General features: G+C 42.6%; 3 protein-coding genes across 23 annotated transcripts in view; 1 reads left to right on the top strand and 2 right to left on the bottom strand.

Annotated features, from left to right (window-relative positions):
- The window catches only part of LOC124900420 (uncharacterized), a 37,707-nt gene extending 25,635 nt beyond the window's left edge, over positions 1-12,072 (bottom strand). The window contains exon 1 of the mRNA XM_047439799.1: positions 614-12,072. The gene's annotated coding sequence lies outside the window, so the exon portion shown is untranslated. The remainder of the gene's footprint in view (positions 1-613) is intronic.
- EDDM13 (epididymal protein 13) overlaps positions 1-12,072 on the bottom strand; it is a 37,707-nt gene extending 25,635 nt beyond the window's left edge. Inside the window, exons 1-5 of the mRNA NM_001354658.2 lie at positions 11,901-12,072; positions 8,711-8,728; positions 3,122-3,127; positions 2,321-2,329; positions 614-622 (exon numbers count right to left, since the gene is read on the bottom strand). Coding sequence (NP_001341587.1) covers positions 614-622; positions 2,321-2,329; positions 3,122-3,127; positions 8,711-8,728; positions 11,901-11,985 — 127 coding nt within the window. The 5' untranslated portion in view covers positions 11,986-12,072. The remainder of the gene's footprint in view (positions 1-613; positions 623-2,320; positions 2,330-3,121; positions 3,128-8,710; positions 8,729-11,900) is intronic.
- ZSCAN5A (zinc finger and SCAN domain containing 5A) overlaps positions 1-23,121 on the top strand; it is a 146,976-nt gene that overhangs the window by 83,459 nt on the left and 40,396 nt on the right. The window lies entirely within an intron of this gene.

Here is a 23,121-nt window from a genome sequence, read left to right as displayed (position 1 = left end):
ATAGCAAGGCCAGGCGCAGTGGCTCAGGCCTGTAATCCTAGCACTTTGGGGGCTGAGGTGGGTGGATCACCTGAGGTCAGGAGTTCAAGACCAGCCTGGACAACATGGCCAAACCCATTTCTACTAAAAATACAAAAATTAGGCAGACATGGTGGTGGGTGCCTGTAATCCCAGCTACTCAGGAGGCTGAGGTTGGAGAATGGCATGAACCCGGGAGGCAGAGGCTGCAGTGACCTACAATTGTGCCACTGCACTCCAGCCTGAGTGACAGAGCAAGACTGTCTCAAAAAAAAAAAAAAAAAAAAATTACAGCAAGCATCACTTGTCTCTAATCTAATTTCTGTTTACTTATCTCTGTTTCCCACCAGACTTTGAGTTTATAAAGAATGAGCATATCAGATCCACTTCTGGGCTCCCATCACCCAAGCATGAGTCCAGGCACAGACTAGATACTCAGAAATTCTTGCACAAAATCCTTGCACCATATTTTTATCATCTAAAACCCACCAATGAATACACACAATCTAACCCAGTTGTACATTCTAGAGCAAAGCCCAAAATTTCCCGCCAAAGTGCACAGTCTGGGGGCATTGTGAAGTGGCAAGGTACTTACCTATGATCCCTGATGGCAGCCCATCCAGGAGAGTCAGCATGGTGGCCAAGGTTACATGCGTGGTCCAGAATGTTGTCCCCAAGAGGTCACAAAGACGAAGCCATAATTAGAAAACCAAAAACGAGGTCAGATGCTGGGGGCTGGGAACAGATTGGGAAGTAGAATCCACAAGGGGTCATGCATGGTGAGCAGTCAGGGACTAAGACTCAGAACGCTGTGAGATTATTGAGGACCCTCGTGCATTTGATGCAGGGAAGAGCGTCCAAAGTGGAGAAAGAGGTTGGGACAGTAATCATGAACCGTTCTTCATTCATGCTAGGAACAGAAGAAAAGATGATCCTTTATTGCCTCTAGAAAGAGGAGCCAAGCTCTGTCCTTCTATTTACCCCACACCAGCCCTTTGAGATCAGATATTGTCCCTATGTTGCTGGTGAGGACGGGTGAACCTCCAAGGAATTACGTGATTTGCAGAGACCTGTGCAGCTGGTGAGTGAAAAAGCAGGAACTCAAACTCAGATCTCTCTGACTTCTTCTAGAAGTCTCCATTTCCTCATCTGCAAAACGGGAACGTTAACTGGGGCGAGGCTTGCTACGTATTGAAGAATCCCACTGGGTTTGCTAGTGGAAAGTGCTGTATTTATGGAGCTCGCAACACCTTTCTCGGTATCACTGAAAATCGTCTGGTAGTTAATGCCTAACGTTGTTGGGAATATTGATGTGGGCATTGAATGGCTGATATCCAGGCTATACATTTTACTAAGTGGGTGGCCTTGGGATGATGAATGAACTCTCTGTGCTCTTTAAAATGGAGATATTGTTTCCTGTTTGGATCTGTGTCAATAAAGAAGGAAGATAATGCAGATTGAGTACTTAGCCTAGCTCCTGGCTCAAGGTAACATTTAGTAAAGTTAGAAATAGTAATATGAAGTACGTAATAATAATAATGATGATAATAGTATTGGATTCATACATAAGGGTGTGTACGTGTGTGTGTGCAGTGGGAGCAGGGACGTGGAATCAGAAAGAGGTGGTAAAGTCTGGATTTATGGAGTTGAAAATGTTTTGCAACCGTAAGTTCACTTAACCTTGCAAAGTAGGCACAGAGAGGTGAAGTGACTTCTCTAAGATTGCCCCACCTAGGAAGGAGCAGAATTAGGCTCCGAATGCAAAGGTGCCTAATGTGGGCCTTGTCCCCTTTCTGCAAGTCATCATCTCACTTCCTGACCTAGCCTTCTGCCCCAGAGTCTTGCAAACTCAGTGACAAAGCCATGGTCTCATTCCACCTAACTTGTTCCAGATTGCTATCTCTAGGAATTATTAAATAGGCAGCGATGATGGTGGCTTTTACTACCTGACCTCAGAAAGCAAAGATGTAAGTCATTGTGTCTAACCAAATATTATTATCGATGTCAGGTAGACCTGAATTGAGCTCTCAGACCTAATAGCTTTCCTTGAGCCATGTGCGGACCATGAAAGAGTGCTCAGTTTCTGGACAAGTGGCTTTGAGGGGAGACAAGTAAAAGGGCTTTTGTTGTTGTTGTTGTTCATCAAAGGACAATTCCACACTTGGTTTTACTAGTTCCGCTATTAGAAGCTAAGCTGTGAACAGACCAGAGAAGAAACGTAAGTCGAAGTTCAGCAGCAATGATCCCTTTTGGACAAAGGCAAACAGACCCCAAAGGGAAAGAGATGGAATGAGAAGCTTACCTTTCAGCACTGTTGGCAGACAAGCAGCAGGAAGGACAGGACCGATGGTAGCCAGTGGGAACCATATTGCCAATGAAGGTTCAGAGAGAATATGAAAGGAATTAAGTCATCCTTGGTACCTCATTGCACCCCATAGGTCCTGAGATAGGTTAGGGAACCAGAATGGGGAGCTGCAATTCATTCTAAGTGCATTGGACCCCTTTGGAGGCACATTTACCCTGAAGTCAGAAACTTCAGGGGTACCAGTGGCCTGGGGAATCCAGACCCTCCCTTCTCCAGCTGAATTTCTAGCATAAGGAAGGTCTCCATAATAACCAAGTGTCATCTCCACTTCTCAACCGGAGACTGGATGTTAATTCTGGGAAAGGAAGACGTCTTACCCACCCTGTACCATATTTTTCTCATCTAAAACCCACCAATAAATACACACAATCTAACCCAGGTGTACATTCTAGAGCAAAGGCCCCTAGATTGTGGTAGGTCATTGATCCTACTGAAAATCTGATCAAAGCTATTTCCCAGAACACCACACAGGTTCTCTTTCTCTCTGACAGCACACCCAGTTTTAGACCTAATGACAGAGGCTTGTTGGCCTCCTCAAAGTCCATCCAGTTGCACCGTTCCCACCCCGGGCAATCTGCAGATTCTGGGTGAAGAGGTCATGTTTGAATTGAGGACATCTGAATCTGCCCCAGGTTGAATGTGATCGTCAGCAGTTTTGCCTCTCTCTTTCATTCCCTTCCTTCTCTAGGTTGAAGGGCGGGCTCCCCATTTATGTAGGGAGAAGGAGATATGACTTACAGTTGACTGGAAGGGGCAGCAGAGCCAGGAGCCAGTGAATCAACATGGAAAATTCAAGGAAGAGAGTGGAATTAATATTAACATCATCCATCTCTGTTAATTTTTACATGCATTTCTTTATTCCTTCATGGAACATTTATTTGCCTGTTGTTATATGGAGTGCGATCTTTATATGGGACGCTATTTTTATGTAGTTTGTCACATAAATTTGACAAAGATCAATACAGCGATAGCATTGTAGTGGCACGAGTGTTAGAAACCCTTCTTTAACTTTGCAGTTTCAGAAATTAATCTTACAGATATATATTTATATAAATATGTAAATGTATATGTGTACATACACACACCGTTGACCCTTGAACAATACAGGTTTGAACTACATGGTTACACTTATCCACTTAGATGTGCATTTTCTTCTGCCTCTGCCACCCCTGAGACAGAAAGACCAACCCCTCCCCTTCCTTCTTCTGGTCAGCCTACTCATTGTGAAGATGACAAGGATGAAGACCTTGATAATGATCCACTTCCACTTAATGAAGAGTAAACATATTTTCTCTTTCTTAATAACATTTTCTTTTCTCTAGCTTCCCTTATTGTAAGAATCAGCATGTAATATATGTAACATACAAAATATATGTTAATCTACTGTTTATGTTATTAGTAAGTCTTCTGGTCAACAGTAGGCTATTCGTAGTTAAGTTTTGGGGAAGTCAAAAGTTATATGTGAATTTTCAACTGCACTGGAGGTTGGTGCCCCTAACTCTCACATTGTTCAAGGGTCAAATGTGTATGTGTTATGGTTTGAGTGTGTACCCCAAACAGCATGTGTTGGAAACTTAATCCCAAATGCAGCAGTGTTGGGAGGTGGGGCCTAATGGGAGGTATTTAGGTCACAAGGGCTCAACTTTCATGAATAGATAAATGCTGGTTATAAAAGGGCTTGAAGCTCTGAGCTCTCTGTCTCTGTTTCTGTCTCTCTCTCTGTCCTTTGATCATAGGATGACACAACAGGAAGGCTCTCACAAGATGCCAACCCCTCAATCTTGGACTTCTCAGCCTCCAGAAACATGAGCCAATAAATTTCTATTCATTATAAATTATCCAGTCTCAGGTATTCTGTTATGGCAGCCCAAAACAGACTACGACAGTGGTTATATCTAGATGATAAAGAAATATATATCTATATATAGATATAATTCTACATATTTCCATGTATAATCCTACAGATATAAATATGTAGATCTACATTGATATATATCCTATATGTCTAATTTCATGTAAGCTGAATTTTTCTTTGAAGGATTATTTAAAAGAGCAAACTACTGAAAACAACCTGAGTGGCCATTAGTATGTGACTGGTCAAACAAATTGTGGACTTCCATACAAGAAATATTATTCAGCCAAAAACGTATAAATAAGAGGTTGAGGATGCTCCTTATGAACTGACACAGAGTCATCTTCTGGAAGTATTATTAGGTGAAAAAAGTAAGGTGCATACAGAACAGTGTGTATAATACGCTGTCTTTTTTGTAAAAATAGAAACAAGAGGACTTTGAATATATAAATACACATTTGTTTCTACTTGCATAAAATATCTCTGGAAGGATCTGGAAGAAATAATTAATATCAGATTCTTTCGGGGAAGGGAAATGAGTGAATAGGTTGGGAAGGAGTTTTTTCCAGTATAACCTTGAGAACTTCTTTAATTCTGAACCCTGGAAATCTTATTTTAAATGAAAATAACATGATGTTTTAAATTGAATAATTAATTAGTAATTTAAATGTAATTAAAGTTTATGTAAATACTGTTTTGTTAATTGAAATATTAATAAAATAATTTAACATAAAACATTTTAATTAAAACAGCATAATATTTTAAATTGAAACAAAAACAGTGTGGATCATGAGATGTTTGCATTTGTTTAGGTTTAGAAGGTTCAGCTTTTGAAGATAGGAAGGAACTAACATAGGCTAGCTTTTTAGGTATAAAAAACCCAAAATGTTATCTGCAGGCATTTTAGCTCACCAAGTCTGGTGTGGGGATTAAATATTTTTAAAGTTTCCCATGTGATTCTCATGATGATGGTCCAGTGTGAGGATTCAGAGCTTTGGAAACCTCAGACCCCATATGGGACACTTACGATTTTGAAAATTAAATTGCATGACGTATTTTAAATTCTCAGTACATGCTAAATGCTTAATTAATATTGGATCCTTTTATCTCCTTTCAACCTGAAATAATAGCATTAAATTATGTTCTCACAGTCCTTTCCATTTTGCAAGGCTCTTTCCATTTATTTAGTCCTACTGAGCGCTAGGAATTTTGCTAGGCTATAGGAATAAACAGATTGAGTAAAGTACAGTCCCTGCCCTCTAGGAACTTACAGTCTTGCAGTCTAGTAGGGGTGGAAAAAAAAGAGATCTTTTTCCCTTCCATGTGACTTGGAGCAGAAATTCTCGAAGTATCATCCAAAGACTACTTGGTGGGGGTGGGAGGTGGTCCCTGAGATCCTTTCAGGGGATGTGATGGTTGATTTGGGGTGTCAGCTTGACTAAGGCACCCATATAGCAGTAAGACGTTTATTCTCAATGCTTCAGTAGGCACTGAGTCCATCCGTCTTCTGCTGAAAGGGAAGCCTGAGTGGTTTGGCATTTGATTAGAATGTTTGGGCTGCCCCAGGTGTGTCTGTGAAGGTGTTTCTGGAGGATATTGGGGTGTGAGTTGGAAGACTAGGTAGGGAAGATCCACCCTCACGGTGGGTGAGCACCATCCAGTTGGATGGAGGCCCAGCTGAAGCCAAGAGGTGGAGTAAGGGTCAATTCTTGCTCTCCCTTCTGCAGCTGGGATGCCCTTCTCCTGGCTTTGGATGTCAGAACTCCAGGTACTCCAGCTTTTGGGATTCTAGGACTTGAACCAACAGCTCCCTGAGCTCCCAGGCCATTGGCCTCAGACTGAGAGTTAGTTAGACCATCCATCAGCTTCCTTGGTTCTGAGGCCTTCAGACTTGGACTGAGCCACACTACTGGCCCTCCTGGTTCTGCAGCTTGCAGACCCCACAACTGAGTGAGCTAATTCCCCTAAGAAATTTGTTCTCAAATATCTCTATCAATATCTTTATCTATATATGTATCTATATGTATATCTTCATGGTTCTGTCTCTCTGGAGAACTCTGCCTAAAACGGGTCTGCATGATCTTCCCTTTTCCAACTCCTTATCTGTGTGAGATTAGATTTTCATTTGCTTCAACCAAAATAGCACATTGTGGCTGGGCGGGGCGGCTCACGCCTGTAATCCCAGCACTTTGGGAGACCGAGGTGGGCAGATCACTTGAGGTCAGGAGTTCAAAACCAGCCTGGCCAACATGGTGAAACCTTGTCTCTCCTAAATATACAAAAATTAGCCAGGCATGGTGGCATGCACCTATAGTCCCAGCTACTTGGGAGGCTACTTCGGATGCTGAGGCAAGATAATTGCTTGAACCCAGGAGGCAGATGTCATGGCGAGCCGAGACCGTGCCACTGTATTCCAGCCTGGGCGACAGAGCAAGACTACGTCTCCAAAATAAACAAACACATAAAGCTAAAAAAAAAAAAAATAGCACATTGTGACAGACTGAAGCAGAAATGAGAATTCAGCTGTTTTCTATTAAACTAGACATCAAAGAGATTTGCAAAAATGTAAAATAATACCTTTCTTACTAAACTTTTTTGGTTTGGAAACAGCCATTTCACTAAAACATTTTATTTATGTCAGTATGTATATTTATTATCCTTATTTTTCAAATATTTTTAATTTCAGTAGCTTTAGGGGTACAAGTGGTTTTTGGTGACATGGATGAATTGTGCAGTGGTGAAGTCTAGGATTTTAGTGCACCAGCATCTTTGTAATGTACATTGTACCCAAAAGGTAGTTTTCATCCCTCACCTCCCTGCCACCCTCCTTCCTTCTGAGTCTCTATTATCCTTATTTTTTTAATGCAGTAATAGATATTTGAATAATAGCTTTACTGAGATATAATTCACATACCATGCAATTCACCCATTTCAGTGGTTTGTAGGATACTCAGACTTGTACGACCATCACTACACCAGTTTTAGAGGCTTTAATCACCCCAAAATAAACCCTGAACCCCTTAGTCATTGTCTCTAAATTCCCCCACCCCTCACCCCCTGGAAATCACTAATGTCCATTGTGTCTCTATGGATTTGCCTATCCTGAATATTTCATATACGGTAAACGGAATCAGGTAATATGTGATCTTTTATCACTGGCATCTTTCACTGAGAATAATGTTTTCAAGGCTCACACACGATGTTGAATGCATCAGAACTTTGTTTCTTTTTATGGGTGAATAATATTCCATTGTATGCATAGACCACACTCTGTTTCTCCATTCATTAATGGATGCATGCTAGGATTACCTTCACTTGCTAGCTCTTAGGAATAGTGCTGCTGTGAACATTTGTGCATGGGTTTTTGTGTGGACTTACGTTTCATTTATCTTGGGCACATACCTAGAGCGGAATTGCTGAGTAACTCAGTGTTTAACATTTTGAGGAACAGCCAGACTGTTTTCCAAAGCAGCTGTATCATTTCACATTCCCACCAGCAGCATATGAGGGTTCTGATTTCTCCACGTTAGTTAGTGTGAAGTGATACCTCACTGTGGCTTTGGCTTCCATTTTTCTGATGGCTAATGAGGTTGAGCATCTTTTTATGTGCTTATTTGTAAATAGAAATAGTTTTTGTAAATATAAGTATTTGTATTTGTAAATATTTATAATATTTGTAAATATAAATATTTTTAAGTTAAAAATCCTTGAATTTACAATAAGGTAAATATCAATAAAGATAACCTTTGGCCGGGCACAGTGGCTCACACCTGTAATCCCAGCACTTTGGGAGGCCGAGGTGGGCGGATCACCTGAGGTCAGGAGTTCGAGACCAGCCTGACCAACATGGTGAAACCCCGTCTATACTGAAAATACAAAATTAGCCGGGCATGGTGGCGCGCAGCCTGTAGTCCCAGCTACTCGGGAGGCTGAGGCAGGAGAATCGCTTGAACCCAGGAGGCAGAGGTTGCAGTGAACCCAGATCGCACCACTACACTCCAGCCTGGGCGACAGAGCGAGGCTCGTCTCAAAAATAAATAAATAAATAAAAATAACCCTCACTGGAAAAAAAAAAAAAGAGCTCTTTAGATCCTTAATAATTTTTTTCGCGTGTTCAGTGGCCCTAAGACCATGAAGTTTGCAAACCACCAGCTGGTGTTAAACATAAGCCAAGGTGTTATTCTAATGGAGATCTGCCCGAAGTCTCTCTTCCCTGATAAATGCTCTTCATTTTCCGAATAGGCCTCTCTTCCCCAGACAAAGGAGTGAAGGAGGGCTGCTCTTTTAGTTGTGAGCATCACTGTAAGCAAACAATAGGTTTGCTTTTCTGAGTCATGTCCAGACCCCATGGCAGGTCTGTGCACCAGATCCAAGTGCCACCCTTCCCCAGAATTGCCAGAGAGGTTGCAAGATCGAAAAGAATTTTAGGAGAGGTAGCTATGAAAATACAGACTTGGGGGTTCCACGGTTCTTACTTTTTTCTTTAGTTGCAACTGGAGACAAAAGCATCAGCCAGCCAGTTCACAACGGGAGCAGGGAGCAGAGAGAGAAATTAGCATTAGACTCAGATCAGTGCAATAACCAAGAAGACCAGAGATAGAAGTGTCCCTGGAGATCAGCTGACCCACTCACTGCTATCAATAAAGCTACTCGGGCCCATCTATCAGCCCATCCATCCATCGATAAGTCCATTCGTTCATCATCCATCCAACCAACATTCACATGGTACATGCTCTGGGCATTGGCCCATGTTTGGTGTTGGAGACGCAGATAAATCAGATTCAGCCCCTGCTCTGTAGGTATTTGCAAGGCTGATTGGGAAGAGAAGTTCTGGTATAAGAGTACACTAGACACCCCAAACTCTGTTCTCACAGAACTTGCTATCTATGGATGTCCCAAACATCTTACAGGTGCTTCAAGCTTAGCCTGTTCAAAAAAGAATCTGTGGTCATCACACTCCTATCCATCAAAAAATAATCTGTTAATGCAATACTTTTTATTTATTCTTACTATTTTTTGTAGAGATGAGTCTCACTATGTTGCCCAGGCTGGTCTCAAACTCCTGGCCTCAAGTGATCCTCTTGCGTTGGCCTCCCGAAGTGCTGGGATTAAAGGCTTGAGCCACTGCACCCAACCAATACGATAAATATCCCTGAGTTCACGCTGATATAAATAAATACAGTACTTGAATAAATAAATGGAGAAGAAAAGTCAGCTTTTCCTTACAGAGAAAGGCCATTGAATATATGTAGATGAATAAGGGGAATAGAAAATCACCATTGGAGAAGCACTGTAGCAATCATTTCTGCAGCAAGATCCACAGATGGATGCTAAAATTAATGGGCAAAAATTGGAGGAGAACAGGGTATTCGCATAGCCTCAAAATTTCTCCCCCAGCGTATTTATTAATTACAAAGGGGGAAAATAGTAACTTAACAGTGGAGAAACCTGGCAGACACCACCTTAGCCGAGGGACTAAAGTTTACACCATGGGTAATAAGACACATCAACATCATGTGGTCCCTGATATAATTCCCGGGGAAGGGTGTGAGACCACTTCTGTGGTATTCCTGCCCTAAATGCATAGTCTCAATCCAATCATGAGAAAGCTTCAGACAAACCCAAATTGAGAGAAATTCTGCAAAACAACTGATCAGAGCTCTTCAAATGTTTCAGGGTCGTGAAAGACAAAGATTGAGGAGGTTCAATCACACATCCTAAGGACAAATCACAAGACCAAAGGAGATGGGATAACAAAATGCAACATGGTTGAGCAAGAGCTGGATTTTCTGAAACAAAACAAAACAAAACAAAACAAAAAACTTAATTGAAAATACAAGGTGGGATCCTGGATTGGATCCTCAAATAGAATAGTTTTTCTATTAGTAGAAACATTAGTAAAATTTGAATGAGGTCTGTAATTTCTTTAATAGTTTTGTTCTGGTGTTGGGTCTTGCTTTTAGTCATTGTGCTATGGTTAGGTAAGATGTTAACAGCTGAGATAACTGGGTGAAGAATATTCAGAAACTTAATTTTTGTGACTTTTCCTCAAGTCTAAAATAATTTCAAAATAAATTTTTTAAAAAACGTGTTCCTCTACAGAGTTTTTTTTTTTTTCTTTTTTTCTTTTTGAAACAGAGTCTTGCTCTGTTTCCCAGGCTGGAGTGCAATGGCAGGATCTCGGCTCACTGCAACCTCCACCTCCTGAGTTCAAGCGATTTTCCTGCCTCAGCTTCCTGAGTAGCTGGGATTACAGGCCCCTACTACCATGCCTGGATAATTTTTGTATTTTTAGTAGAGATGGGGTTTCGCCATGTTGGCCAGGCTGGTCTTGAGCTTCTGACCTCAAATAATCCAGCTGCCTTGGCTTCCCAAAGTGCTGGGATTACAGGTGTGAGCCACCGCGCCCGACCTCTACAGAGTTTTCTCATCTCAGTTAAGGGCAGCCTCAATTCCCCAGTTGCAAATACATGTATGTATAAAGAGAGCCTTTCTGCATGCTTCTCTATCCCCAACCACCAGCATCTGACCCATCACTCAATCCTGTGAGCTGTTTCCTCAGTGCCTCGTAACCTTCTACTTATCCCCATCTTCACCCTGATGACCAAAACGTTTTCTAACTTGTGTGTTTGCCCCTAATCTGATTCCCACCTAATCCATTCTTTCCTGAGGGCAAGACACATTGTTTAAACACACAGAAACACACATACATGCACACACACGCTCCTAAATATGACACTCCTTTGCTGAAAACCCTTTCACAGCTTCCTTTTCCCTGAGGATAACATCCAACATTTTTCCTGTGACTCACATGCCCCCGTCTGTTCTGTTTCCTGCCTCCTGTCTCTTCTTACTTGTAACAGTCTCACCACCATGCCCCTCCTTCTGCCTACCACGTTCCTGACACACCGGCCTCTCTCTGATGGAGGGACTCAGTGCCTTCTGCCCCAGGACCTTTGCATATTCAAGTCTCTGCCTGGAATAGTCTCTCCTAACTCTTCAGCTGGCCAGCTCCTATTCCTTACCTCAAATGTGACTTTTCTAGAGAGGCCATCTCCGAATCCCCACACTAGAATGTGTGTGTTTAGCATGAGAATTCCATGAAGACAGAACTATTTTCATCACTATATTCCCAGCATCAAGCCCGTGGAAAGAACCAGGAATAAACATTTGTGGATCGAATGAGGAAATGGGAACTCAGAGTTATGGCAAGACCCAAGTCCTCTTCCCAATATACTCTTTGGTGTCTTTACGTCGCAAAAGTCTGGAGTCTCACTAGAATTATCTAACTATGGTAATGTTGACTTCCAGGCACTGCACAACGTAAGCTCGTCAATGACATGCAACAGTCCCATGAACTGGGGATTCTTGTGAGCCCCGTTGGTCAGATGAGGACAGCAAGGTTTGCAGACGCAGTGTCTCCCCAAAGTCACAGAATCAGTGATAGAAACCAGGATGCAGACACAAGTGTATCTCCAAGGGCAGGGGCTAGCAACCTAGACTCATTCACCCCACTGTGTCCATCAAGGGAAATGTGAATGTCTAAATGGGAAGCAAGAAGAAGTCTGTTAGACTTCAGGAGCTTCTCTCTGAATCCAGCCCACAAGAGCCTCCCAAGTTGTAAGAAAATACATAGAGGACACAAGGCATGGCTGGAAGCATTACCTTCACGAGGAGTACAGGCTTCTGCCAATCCCAGGAAAAGCAGAATCAGCAGCGACATTTTCAGAAATGGCTCTGATCTGTGCATGATGGGGCTGGGATTTGGGCTGAATGTTCTCCTCCTAGGATAGACAGGACTCTCTGGTCACCCACCGTCTTCCCAGGCTCCAGGGACAAAACTAACTGCCCACACCTGCCCTCTAGCCTGCCTGGAGGCTGGCAGGTCTCCAGACCTGTGCCCACGCCACCAACTGCTGACCAAAGAACTGTATCTGCTTTTTCATCTTAAAGCAACATTTTAGAACAGTTTCATGCTGAGTGTGATGCTTGTCATCCTATGATCTGCTGGCCAAATCCTGCCCTCCTCCTGTTTTTGTAGGGCCTATGAGCTAAGAGTAATTGTTACCTTTTTTAATGGTTGGAGGGAAAAAACAAAAGAAAATATTTCATGACATGAAGATTATATAGAATGTGAATTTCAGTGTCCATGAATAAAGTGTTATTGGAACACAGCCATGCCATTTCACTATGTATTGTCTACAGCAGCTTTCAGGCTGCAAGACTGAGCTTTGTAGTTGTGACAGAGACCATCTGGGCCAAAAGGCCTAAAATATTTACTGTCCGGCCCTTTATAGAAAACGTTTGTGGACCCCTGTCCTAGACGTACTGTAAATTTCAGAAAAACAACAAAGCAAGCAAACAACATCTATCGTATTTCTACTCAGAAGTAAGTATTGTTTTTACATTTTTGTGTATATTCCTTTCCAAAGATGTCTACGTTTATACTTACCTCTAGCACTTACTAGCTATGTACCCTGAGCAAGTTACTTAACCACTCTGTGCTTCATTTTCTTGATCTATAAAGTTGGGATAATGATATTTCCAGGCTAATGTGATACTATCATATCACACCTGTATGATAGTAAATTTGTACTGTTGTAGCCATTAAGTTTGTAATAATTTTTCATAGCAGCCACAGGGAACTAACTGTTTCCACTGGTAATTCTTAGAAATTGCTTTGACAGTCAAGAACTTTAGCTGTCAGTGGGAATATGAACTTGACCCAGTATCCCTCTGGACTCCTGGAATAAAGGCAGAGTGTAGAGACCACTGGTCTATCTAAGCTCTGAAGGTTTCTATGGTACTTCCTTCAAGCCTGATAGAAACAGAGGGTTGTGTGTAGTGTCCTGGAAGGAAAGAGTTCCAGGTGTGGAGGGATGTCCACTCTTGCAGGGGACTCTCTCCTGCCGCCATCTCTGGTGCTATCTATGTTTCAATCCCTAGTACAAGCTGGACCATCTCATGTACATTAGGGGATACCTCAGCGATCCTTCAGACTAGGCTGGAGGAGAGAGTTCTTGTTGGCCATTTGCCATATTTCAGAGCTCCCCTCCTTTGTGAGCACATGGTCCTGGCAACTCATCACCGGGAAAACGTGATACTACAGGATTTGTTATAATGAGCAGAAGAAACAAGGCGTAAAACATGTGGAAGGCTTTTCACATCCGGTGCTATGCGGAAGTAAAGACCACCCAATGAAAACAAGCAAAGGCTATTAATTCAGAGCTTGCTGTAATAAGGGAGGCCACTGACACCATTTGTGTTTGGCACAGACTCAAAGGCAGGCAGGGTAGTGGGAAAGCTTATAGTGAAAGAAAGGGAAGGCTTCAAGAGTGCCTGGTTGGAGGCCGTTGGCATAAGGAAGCTGGCAGTGGTTAATTAGAGGCCATTGTGATTGGTTGGGGGAGCATATTTGGATTTCTCTGATTAGTCCTACGTTTCGATTTTCCATCCTTCCTTAGCAGCCTCATTACCAGCACAGCTGTTTCTTTGCTTTATCAAATATAATCACAGTCCCTAACTCATAACACTAGGGTTTAAATGCAACAAATGCCTGGGATGTAGAACATCATTAATATTCTTTAGCATTATCTGCTCTGCCAGACTGTGATCTGGGGACAGAGATGAGTCAGATACTGGCCTTGCTCATGAGGAACTCATGCTTTAGGGAAGATCAGGATTTCTCACCATTGGCACAGCTGACATTTAGGACTAGATCGTTTTTGTGGTGGGGGCTGTCTTCCGCTTTGTGGGATATTTAGCAACATCTCTGGTCCCTATCAATTACACAGTAGCACCTGCCCCACCCACCCCACACCAACCACCACCGCCACCATGTTTGGGGAGCCACAACTAGGAAGTGATGAGCTTTTAGTGCTTATTACTCTATTTTTATTATAACTTATTTATGTTCAAGTTTATACAATTTAGTTTTGAGTATTGGGCTATGTTAGGCAAGCAGCTAAAATGAGGAATTTTACCTCAATTTAAAAATGTTTTAAATGTAGAAAACTGAAAACGTTAACAATTGACCCTCATAAGCTGGCTCCAGTACACGTATGTAATATTATTTTGTGTGTTTTTACATTTATTCTAAATGGTGTTTCACTGAATCTTTCTTGCACAACTTGCTAGCTATGTATGTATTTATTTATTTATTTATTGAGACGGGGTCTCACCCTGTCGCCCAGGCTGGATTGCAATGGCACGATTTCAACTCACTGCAAGCCTCCGCCTCCTGGGTTCAAACGATTCTCCTGCCTCAGCCTCCTGAGTAGCTGGGATTACAGGCGTGCGCCACCACACCTGGCTAATTTTTGTATTTTTAGTAGAGACAGGGTTTCACCATGTTGGCCAGGCTGGTCTCGAACTCCTGACCTCGTGATCCACCCACCTCGGCCTCCCATAGTGCTGGGATCTTTTTTTTTTTTTTCACCCAGCGTGATGTTTGTGAGATCCACTCATGTCTATGTGGAGCAGGGAAGTGGTGCTGGACCTGGAGACGGCAAAAAACCTGGTTGTTATAGTCACAGACAGCCAATCAGTTAGAATCACAGACATTGAGTCAATCCAGTGTGGATGCCAATCCCTGCCCCACCACACTACGGCTGGCCTGAGTTTCTTCTTGCTACCATAACAAATTACCATAAAATTTGTGACTTAAGACGACATAGATTTATTATCATACAGTTCTGGAATTGAGAAGTCTGAAATGGGTTGATAGAGTGAAAAGCCTTGGTAAAGCTACATTCCTTCTGCCGGCTCTAGGAGGAATTTGTTTCCTTGCCTTCTGCAGCTTCTACAGGCTGCCCACATTCCTGACTCCTGGTCGGCCTCTTTCATCTTCCTAACCAACAGCATGGCGTCTTCAAATCTCTCTCCAACCCTCTCCCATTTTCAGGCCAGCGATGGCCGGTCAAGTCTTTCTCACCGTACATTGCTCTGATTCTCTGTTTTCATCATTCCGTCTCCCTCTGTTACCCATTTCCCTCCCTCTTTCACTTACAAGATCCTTTGTGATTACATTGGACCTACCCCAGTAATCCAGGATAATCTCCCCACAAGGTCAGCTGATTAACAGTCTTATTTTTATCACATCTGAGAGTAACACACTCCCAGGTTCCAGGAGTCAGATGTGGGTATCTTCAGGGACAATTATTCTGCCTGCCTCACAGATGCATAAACTTGCTCAATTGACTATATCCCTGAGCCTCGGTTTCCTCCTATTAATGATAGCAACAATTATTATCATTAATTATTATATTATTATGCCATATAATTGTGAATGTTTTAAAGTATATTGAGGGGATGTGGAGAAATTGGAGCTCTTATACATTGCTGGTGGAAATGTAAATTGGTATAGCCCCTGTAGAAGATAGTTTGGCAGTTTCTCAAAAAGTTAAATATAGGGCTACCGTATAACCCTGAAAGTCCACTCCTAGGTATGTACCCGAAAGCACGGAAAACAGGTAATTACACAAATATTCACACACGAATGTTCACAGCGACACTATTCACTAGAGTCAAAATATGGAAATGATTCGAATGTCCATCAATAGATTAATGGGTAAAGTGTGGTATAGCCATATAATAGGATATTATTCAACTGTAAAAAGAAATCAAGTACTGATACATGCTAGAACATGGGTGAACCTTGAAAATATTATGCAAAGTAAAAGCAGCCAGACACAAAAGACTACCTAGTGTATGATTCCATTGATACGTAATATCCAGAACAAGTAAATCCTTAGAGACAGAAAGTAGATAGTGGTTGTCGGGGACTAGGAATGGGGAGGGAAAGAGGAATGGCTGCTTAGTGAGATGGGGTGAGGGGTAAGGAAAGTGTTTTAAAACTAGATGTGGGTGACGGTTGAACAACATCGAGAATGCACTAAAGGCCACTGAATTGTACACTTAAAATGGTTAATTTTATATCATATGAATTTTACCTCAATTAAAAAAGTTTTAAATGTAGAAAAATGTGTTAAAAGCTCTAAAAATAGCAATTAAAAATCCCATGTTACCAAAACAAAACAAAGAAAACAGTACAAGCATAGGGACTGTGCATATTAAAAGTAACTAAATTTAAAAAGTATTAAAAGTAACTAAATTTAAAAATTAAACCAGCAGCAGCAGCAGCAGCATCTGAGGCTTCTACAGGGAAACAAGTGGAAATAGTTCAACCCCTCTGTACAGTTCCTGGGGCAGTCCCAGAGCTTGAGCAGGTGGGAGGGATGAGCATTCTGTCCCTGCCGCAGGGGCCATTACACCCACAGGGGCAGCGCCCACACAAGGGGTCTCGGCTGCAGCTGGCATGACTGGCTCAGCCACACCAATGCTTCTGTGTCCTGGGCAGCCTGGCTTCCCAACCCCCAAGGAGTCCCAAGCCACTGACTAGGTCCTAGAATAGACAACCCATGTCCTGGGCTCTGGCTGGCTCTCCAGTCAGTTCCTTCACATCTATCCTAGATAGAGGAGCCCTTGGAGTCTTCTGTCCCCCACTAAACAGATAAGGGAGCAATGGGTCAGAAGTTTCAGGGATTTTTCCCAGAAGGGACCTGAAAAGTGTCATCGGATTTAGCCAGGCTCTGAAATCATAGAGGTGCGGGATCAAACCTCAGCTCCCTCCACCTCCTGGCTGTGTGCACTAGGACAAGGATTTCTTTTCTTTGGACCTCAGTTTCTCAGGGAGTAAAAATGGAGGTGTCATAGCAACAGTCGATACTTTTTCTAGCACTGACTACATCCCAGATGCTCTTCTAAGAGCCTTTGCCTATAATAACTCCTACAACACTATGAGATGGGAACTGTTATTAGCGTCATTTTATAGATGAAAAAAGTGAGATCTAAAAGCATAAGGTCCACTCAGAATCACACCACTAGTAATTGGCAGGACTGGGATTCGAAGCTAAGTATATGAATCTGCAGTGAATGCTCTAAACCAGCCCTGTCCAGTAGAACTTTCTGCAGTGATAGGAATGTCCTGTATCCGTGCTACCCAGAATGGTGGCCACTAGCCACGTGCGGCTGCTGAGCACTTGAGGTGACGCTAATGCAACTAAGGAAATGAAGTTTTCATTTTATTTCATTATGAAGCATGTAAATCTAAATAGCTACGTGGTAAATCTAAATAGCTACATATATTGGACAGTGCTGCTCTAAATCATGATACTAAGCGCCTCTCAGCCTTAATAGACTATATACCTAACAGGGTTGCTATGACAGTTCTGACAGAGCCATATGTGTAAAAGCACCCTCTGTGAACCAAGCAGTCTCGGTGTTGGGGATGCACTTTCTCTAACCCTGTGGAGTTTATAGTCTGGTGTAGGAAGACAAACAACAATATTGACAAACACATATATAATTTCATGTACTGGTCATTGCTGCAAAGAAACTGAAATAGGGCCATGTGTTAGAGACCGATGGGGTTGAGATGCTGCCGTAGCTAGAGTTGTCAGGAGAGACCTCACTGAGATGGTCACATTTGAGTTTAGATCCTAATGAAGATCTGGGGTAAGAGTAGCTTAGACAGAGGGAACAGCTTGTGCAAAGACCCCGAGGCAGAAAAAAGCAGAAGGAATTTGACACGCAGAAAGAAGATCATTGTGGATGGAGCAGGGTAAGCTCATGGGAATGTGGAGGGAGGAGAGGTTAGAGTGGTAGGCAGGGGCCAGATTGTCAACAAACCTGAGTGGGCTCCGCCGTGAGAATGATAGTAAGCACAAACCAGGAACATTCCTCTTTGTCTGCTTTCCCTGGGCCCTCTTACACCCACTTGGTTCTCTATTAAATATGGGCATCTCCGGCCAGGCACCGTGGCTCACGCCTGTAATCCCAGCACTTTGGGAGGCCAAGGCAGGTGGATCACGAGGTCAGGAGATCGAGACCATCCTGGGTAACATGGTGAAACCCCGTCTCTACTAAAATTACAAAAAATTAGCCGGGCATGGTGGCAGGTGCCTGTAGTCCTAGCTACTCGGGAGGCTGAGGCAGAAGAATTGCTTGAACCAGGCACCGAGATCGCGCCACTGCTCTCCAGCCTCAGTGACAGAGTGAGACTCCATCTCAAAAAAAAAAAAAAAAAAAAAAGTGGGGGCATCTCCCAAGCAGAAAGCAAAGCCTAAGCCTACTCACTTCTTTGGGGAGAGAGGAAGAAAGTCTTGGACAGTAATTGAGCATCCTCTTTGGGCACCTGCCCCAACAACTTCACACACATTATCATCTCATTTAACTGAGGTTGGATCTGCAAAGGCAGCTTGGCTTGGCAGAAAGAGCGGGAGCTTTGGAATGAGGGCCTAGATCTCACCGTGGGCTCTATCACTTGGTGCTATTTTTAGCAAGCATGCAGTAATAATCATAATACTCTCAGCAGTTAAGCTTAATTGGGTGATTATGATGTGCCAGACGTGGTTCTAAGCACTTCATATCTATTAGCTCATAATTTTAAGAGCTGGGTAGTATTATAATTTCTCTTTGCAAATGAGATAACTTTGCCCAAAGTCAACAAAGCCAATAATTGGAAGAGGTAGGATTTGAATCTATACAGGTATGATTGACATTTGTGAACTTGTTTAGCTGCTAAGTCTCTATACCCTGATTTCCTTTGGAAGAATTACCTCTGCTCCACTGTATGTGGTCCTGGTGGGATAGTTAATGCACGTGCCCATTTTCTCATAATGAAAAGCAAGCAGGGTCCCTCAAAGCTCCTTGCACCAGATCCTTATTTTTACACTAAAGCCAACCAACCTTTGTCCTAAGCCAGGCTAATCAGACTGCTTACCTGGCACTTTAAATCTCGAATTGAGTAAAGCAAGAGTGGAAGAAGCAGATTTAATGCTTTTCAGGTGAGAGTGTTGAGTGGCTCATGATACAGAAATCTCTTGGTTTCCCAGGCTTCACTCTTTCCCAAACCCACTCTCCAGCCTTCACTTTAATCCTTTGAACTCCACCCCTTTGCCAGTTCCTTCCAGTGATTTCTCTTTTAAGCTAGCCAAAGTCCGTTTCTGCCACTGGAACCCAAAAAACCTGCTTGATTCAAGAAGTTCAGCTCTGTTTGTGTTCTAAGGCAACCTCTGGCTGCTGTCCTTCTGTACATAGTCTTCCTTCCATTGGATCTCTCAAAGAGAAAGCTCACTTCCTCAGTTTACTTTCCACCAGCTTTAAGTTTCAAGCCTTACTGCTTGCTTACAGCTTTAACCACTTACATAGAGTATAGGTGCATACTAGATGCTCAATTAATATTTGTTGAAATGGTATTCAAGGTGAAAGATTGAGAAGTGAAGATGGTTTGGAATTGTGTTGTTGATGCCTTTATCATGGGAGTGCCCTGTGCTAGGATGGATCTGAGAATGGTTTTTTTGTAATTCTGAAATAAGCCCATGTGTCTCCCCTACTCCAAATCCTTCCATGGCTCAACATTACATACAGGATAAGCATTTATTTAATTTATTTATTTATTTTTGAGATGGAGTCTCACTCTGTCACCCGGGCTGGAGTGCAGTGGTGTGATCTCAGCTCACTGCAACCTCCGCCTCCCAGGTTCAAGCAGTTCTCCTGCCTCAGCCTCCCGAGTAGCTGGGATTACAGGCGCCTGCCACCACACCTGGCTAATTTTTGTATTTGTAGTAGATACGGGGTTTCACCATGTCTGCCAGGCTGGCCTTGAACTCTTGACCTCAAGTGATCCACCTGCCTCGGCCTCCCAAAGTGCTGGGATTACAGGCATGAGCCACCGCGCCCAGCCCTAGGATAGCATTTATGACTAAAAGCTTTAGTGTGACCTAGATCAAGAGTAGGAAAACTTTTTCTGTCAAGAGCAAGATAGTAACTATTTTTGTCTTTGTTAGCCATATGGTCCCTGTCGCAATTACTCAACTTTGCCACTGTAGTGAGAAAGCCACCAGAGACAATACATAAGCAAGGGGAGCTAGCTATGTTCCAATAGAACTTTATTTATAAAAACAAATGGTCAACTATAGTTTGCCAGCCTCTGATACAGACTCTTCATACTTCATAGTCCAGTCTCCCAACACTTCCTCATCTTACCTTGATTTCTACTAAATGAAACTTTGACTTCAGGATTCAGATCTGATGTCACTTCCATAACACATCTTTCTTGGAATGTACTGCATCATTCCTGGAAGATGGAAGATCTCAGTTAATAGGAAGACCTGAACAAACAGGTCATTTTCTGTAGTGGAATGAGCATGAGCTTGAGAGTCAGATCCAGGTGTAAATCCCAATCCTGCTACTCCCTTACCCTGAGATAGTGTCCAAAAAGTCTTTCTTGGGCTGGGTGTGCTGGCTCATGCCTGTAATCCCAACACTGGCAGGTTGAGGCAGGTGGATCACTTGAGGTCAGGAGTTCGAGACCAGCCTGGCCAACATGGTGAAACCCCATCTCTACTAAAAATACAAAAAATTAAGCTGGGTGAGGTGGCGGGTGCCTGCAATCCCAGCTACTCAGGAGGCTGAGGCAGGAGAGTTGCTTGAACCTGGGAGGCGGAGGTTGCAGTGAGCCAAGATAGTGCTGTTGCAGTGAGCCAAGATCATGCCATTGCACTCCAGCATGGGTGACAGAACGAGATTCCATCTCAAAAAAAAAAAAAAAGTTTTTCTTGGAGCTTCATTTTCCTCTTACATAAAATCATAGACTTTTAGGGGGAAATAAATGAGGTGAAGGTTGTAAAACACTTAGCAATATGTATAGCATATAATATTTATATGGCTCATAGAAGCATAATACTATTATAATTATTGTTATTACATGTTATTATCATGCATTATCATCATCTCAGAGGTTCTTATGAAATCTATACTTCTTTAAAAATGGTGATTTTCGCAATTCCTTGTCTTTGTTTAAATGCATAATTCTCTCCTCTCTCGCCTCCCTTCTTTCAGATGTTTTAGGTAGAAGTAGAAAGAGGAAAGTGTTAGAGTTTCTTCCAAAGAATATGGGAAGATGTTCTGATTGCGTCGTTTAGAACATCCAGGGTCTAGAGTTGCAGTTTTTCTGGGTTAAGGCACTCAGAACATTTTATCTATCAAAGCCACTTGGGACTGGTAGGTCCTGATAGCATAGATGCAGGATTCCTTAATGCCCTTTGCAACTCCATCCCTGTAAATTCAACGAGCCTCCTTCTGGCTTGGAGATGAAAGGAAGATGAATAAGATGATTCTTACTAGATCTGGGATCCCAAAGCTCTGGCTTTCGGAAAAGTGAAATATTATTTGTTCCAGAGGGCACATAACATGTTCCTGGCACATTGGAGGGCTATTCCTCATAAGCTGGAGCTCAGCGCTTGCCCTTAAAATGCACTTCACCCAGCTCACCGTCTCATGTAGGCCAAAGCTGGAAGAACCTTAGATATCACCACATTCCAGAAGCCCAATGCTAAATGTTGAGTATGTGGGCAATCTTCTTGGAAGAAGAGTTGAAGCTGTTACCAAGTCATTGGAGGTATGCCTGGCCCCAAGAAGGGCAAAGGATCACTGCCTAGTCCCAAGGCATCATTCAGATGTGCATGTGAGGAGTCTCTACCAAGTGTCTCTATGTTCAGTAATACATACTCCTACCTTACCCATCACTAAGGAATTTATAATCTACTAAATTTGTTTTTAAAAAAGTATTGTTTCTACCAAAAGACATATGCAAAACGACTTACAGCATAATTACCCATATAGATAAACGTTGGAAATAATCCAAGTGTCCGTCAACAATAGAATGGATAAATAAATCAAGGAATGGATAAATAAATCAATGGAATATTGCACAGCAATAAAAAGGATGAACTATCGATACATACAACCACATGGATGACTTTTATCAATATAATGTTGAATGAAAATCAGGGCCGGGCGCAGTGGCTCATGCCTGTAATCTCAGCATTTTGGGAGGCTGTGGTGGGTGGATTACTTGAGGTCAGGAGTTCGAGACCAGTGTGGCTAACATGGTGAAACCCCGTCTCTACTAAAGACACAAAAAAATTAGCCGGGCATGGTGGTGGGTGCCTGTAATGCCAGTTACTTGGGATACTGGGAGGCTGAGGCAGGAGAATTGCTTGAACCCAGGAGGCAGAGGTTGCAGTGAGCCAAGATCATGCCATTGCACGCCAGCCTGGGCAACAGGAGCAAAACTCCGTCTCAAAAAAACAAAAAAACAAAAAAAAAAAAATTAGAAACGAGACTGCATACTGTAACATACAACTTTTATGAAACTCTAAAATAGTCAAAATTAATTTATGGTGATAGAAGTTAGAAAAGTGGGCCGGGCACGGTGGCTCATGCCTGTAATCCTAGCACTTTGGGAGGCTGAGGCGGGTGGATCACTTGAGGCCAGGAGTTCCAGACCAACCTGGCCAACATGGTGAAACCTTGTCTCTACTAAAAAATACAAAAATTAGCCGATCATGGTGGCAGGCGCCTGTAACCCCAGCTACTCAGGACGCTGAGTCAGGAGAATCACTTGAACCTGGGAGGGAGGCAGAGGTTGCAGAGAGCTGAGATTGCACTCCAGCCTGGGCAACAGAGTGAGACTCCATCTCAAAAAAAAAGTTAGAAAAGTGGTTACCTGTAGGTAGGCACAGATTGGAGGGGCAAGAGGGAGACTTCTGAGGTACTGGAAATATTGTGTCTTCTTATCTGGGTCATAGTTATGTGAATCTATCCGTCTATCCATATGTAAAAATTTATTAAACTGTAACCTTAAGAATTGTACACTTCACTATATGTAAGTTATACCTCAATAAACAAACAAAAATAAAGAAAAATTGTGATAGCCAAACTTTAGACTTGAATTGTTATTTAAGCTCTTTATTTTACATGTGAAATTTTCAATAATATCAGTTTTTGGTGTTTCCAAACAGGATATTAGTCTGAAGAAATA

The sequence above is a fragment of the Homo sapiens genome, chromosome 19 (assembly GCF_000001405.40).
Source record: "Homo sapiens chromosome 19, GRCh38.p14 Primary Assembly".
NCBI classification, from domain to species: domain Eukaryota; kingdom Metazoa; phylum Chordata; class Mammalia; order Primates; family Hominidae; genus Homo; species Homo sapiens.
The sequence above is the reverse complement of the archived record's forward strand: the minus strand, read 5'-3'. Positions and strand labels throughout refer to the sequence as shown.